General features: G+C 49.5%; 1 annotated feature.

Moving 5' to 3' along the window:
- Positions 333–1,532: an enhancer, noted in NCBI's record as "BRD4-independent group 4 enhancer chr6:169194256-169195455 (GRCh37/hg19 assembly coordinates)". NCBI's record gives its function as "activates an origin of replication core promoter dependent on BRD2, P300/CBP, MED14 and CDK7 cofactors, and independent of BRD4, by STARR-seq in HCT116 cells {active_cell/tissue: HCT116}" and the evidence as "EXISTENCE:reporter gene assay evidence [ECO:0000049][PMID:35650434]".

Genomic DNA, 3,286 nt, shown 5'->3' with positions numbered 1-3,286 from the left:
AAAAGAGGAGCAATGGAGATGGGGGTGACGCTGTGACTTCAAGCCTGGATCCAGGAAGGCCTGCCCCAGAAGGTGGCATTTGAATGAGGACCTCGCCTGAGTGGAGGAGTAGTCATCCCAGTTACCTGAGGGTGAAAGAGATGACAGAGAAGAACAAGTCGAAGGCTCTGAATAGGAGGGTCTGCTTTTCATGAAGGGGGTGGGGGCATGTAACTGAAGAAAAGGGAACCAGGAGGACAGAGAGGAGCCCAAGGTCTTGGTAGATCTTGGGTTTCCACTTGCATGAGTGAAGGCATGGTGGATTTAGCATCCTTGATGGCCCCATGACCCTGCATCCCTGGATTCATTCGCTTTTGTTGCTCCCACCTATGTGGGGAGGACAAAGTAGAGGTATGTGTGTTTTACGGTGAGGTCACCAATGTCATTGCAGTTTCCACCTCCATGTTTTGAATCACTCTTTCTTCAGGGAACTGGCTACATGTCAGAAGGACACTTCAGTAGCCCATGAAGCGGTGGGAGTGAGCAGATGGACTTGTGTGTGAGGTTGCATGAACCGGCCTGGCCGTGCCTCCACAACCACAGTCCCACCTTCGGATGATGGCAGCCCCAGCCTGTATCTCACTGCAGTCTCCAGAGAGAACCTGAGCCTGAATCCCCAGCCAAACCACATCCAAATTCCTTACCTGGAGAAAATGTGTGAGATGACAGAATACTCTTAGGATTGTAAGCCATTAAGTTTCGGGGGATTCGAAGCACAGCCTTACATGAGAAGCACAGATCCTGCTCCAAGAAGCACGTGACAGAATCATCTGTGATATTAGGACACCTGCCAGGGCCTGGGCGTGGTGGATGCAGCAGCTCCAGGGAGAAATCCAGAAGAAAAAGTCCAGAGGAGCTGGGGCAGTGGCAGCAGGGCCTCGGGAGGGGGTTTCAAAGCCAGCTGTGGTGACGTCGTCTGTCTGCACGATGTGTTGTGATGCTGAGGATAATACCGTGGGAACAAACAGGTTCCTAGGACTCTGCAGGACTCCTCAGAGGCTACACGTGGGAAAGGCAGCGATGACAGCAAGCGGCCATGAGTCATTCAGGAGCCACTCCCTTCTCCAGCACAATCACCATTTTGAATATTGTGTAGAGGTGTTGGGTAGAAAAATACGTGTGTCACAAGAACCGCTTACCAAACCGAGCTGGGCACTAGGGCATGAAAGAAGCTCACCTGTCTCCTCTGGTGATCCACTCTGTTCTTCTAAAACAACCAACCACTGAGCCCTCCTAAGAACAAAGGCACAGAGGGCTGGGGACAGAATTGAGTGGCGGGCTCATAAAGCCTGAAGGTGTGGGAGGTTGGACCTGGGTGTTTTGAATGAAGCATAGCACACCGTGATTTACTGTATTCCACGAAAAAAATAGGGTGAACTCACACTCACTGTATCAATTACATAATGCACGTGTGTGTGTTTCACAACACTGGATGCCAAGATGAATGGGTGTGGCTTCACGGGGCAAGGGAGGATGCCCACAGCATGCCCCACGCCTCAGGGCTGTCCCCCACGTGGACACAGCAACAACAATTTCAGAGGAAAACTGATGCAAGGCTTTTGAAATCAAGAAAGAGATCAAGAGGCATGGGCAACCTCCTTGCTAAATGTGCACACAGCTATTCAGTGTACATCTACACCTCTGACATAGCCCAGTGGAGTCAGGGCCTAGAGTCATTGAGGTGTCAACTGTGGACTCTAAGTTCACCTCGGCAGTGGTGCTGAGGAGCAGAGAGAACCCAGAACCTGGCTGTCCATGTGGACCAATATTCCTCTAACTTGGAGACCATTAAAATGATGATGGGGCATTTTATAAAAACATAGCTGCCCAGTTCCTACCTCCAAAATAGAACCAGAATCCCTGAGGGATAAGAGACAGGCATATGTATTTCTAACACGCACGTCACTGGGTCTGACGCACCCCCAAGGTTAAGAATCACTGGCTTTTGGAGGCCAAGGCAGGCGGATTGCCCGAGGTCAAGAGTTCAAGACCAGCCTGGCCAGCATGGTGAAAACCCATCTCTACCAAAAATACAACAAGTTAGCTGAGCGCAGTGGCAGGTGCCTGTAGTACCAGCTTCTCGGGAGGCTGAGGCAGGAGAATCACTTGAACCAAGTAGGCGGAGGTTGTAGTGAGCCGAGATTATACCACTGCACTCCAGCCTGGGTGACAGAGCAAGACTCTGTCTCAAAAAAAAAGGAATCACTGGCCATATTGATTCCATCTCTTAGTCTAAAGGTTGCAACGATTTTCTAGTTTTAAAGAGGCCATTTAATTTTGGAAGGGGAAGTGAGGCTGTGGGTCAGAGAGTGAACCCACTAGGCAGCTTATTTTTCTACCAAGACTGTCCATGTGCTGGAGGCGTCTGTTAAGAGCCAGCACTACAGTCCCGCTACGCACTGAGAAAGTCATGTCCTTACCCCCACAAGCTACACTGCGATGGTGCCCACGTTTACGGGAAGCAGAGAGGAAGTACCCCCATGAGGGAAAAACAGAGGCAGCTATACTCACCTGCCTTTTGCACACAGTGACAAATAACTGAAAAACAAACAAAAAGAACTAAGGAAAATTTATACTTCAGTTAACAACATCTGGGACATTGTTCTGTGCATTAATTCAGCAACTTTCCTAATCTTCTTTCTAGAAATATCTGCTCTGGTGGTCAAACATGGACAAAAGGGTTATGAAATGGATCCTGCAGGTTCAGTGGGAGGAGCAAAGCCTTGGGAGGAGCAGGGCTAGGACTGAGCCTCCTCTCCTTGGACTGGTTATTTGACCAAAAGTGAAGATAAGGAAACCCTTATATGATGTTTAGAGGATTAAATTAAAGTAGATATGAAGTTCCCGGTACACAGTAGTTGCCTAATAAATACATGTTTTTCTTTTCCTCCAAGGCATTTTTTTCTGCCTAGAAAATAATGAACTGTTCCAGCTCATGTGAAGCCCACTTCTAACTTCACGGCTGCAGAACCCTTCACTGAAACGCAAGGTTCCCACAAGTGAGGACAGGTCCCTTCGTCCAGGAATTCCTGACATCCGCTGCAGAGGCCAGTCGTGGTGCAAGATACCTGAACGCTTATTGATCCTAGCTGAATTGACGTGATATCAGCAGGGCTGACCGTAAGAGCCTGGTCAAGGCTAGGCCACGGTGTCGGGCAGCCTCCCGGGTGACCTCGGACACTCAGAACTTGGAAAACTGTCATCATACCCTTGAAATGGAAGCAGCAGGAAAGGCCTGCCTTGCAGT

This window comes from Homo sapiens, chromosome 6 (genome assembly GCF_000001405.40).
Source record: "Homo sapiens chromosome 6, GRCh38.p14 Primary Assembly".
Lineage (NCBI taxonomy): Eukaryota > Metazoa > Chordata > Mammalia > Primates > Hominidae > Homo > Homo sapiens.
This window is presented reverse-complemented; position numbering and strand designations above follow the sequence as displayed.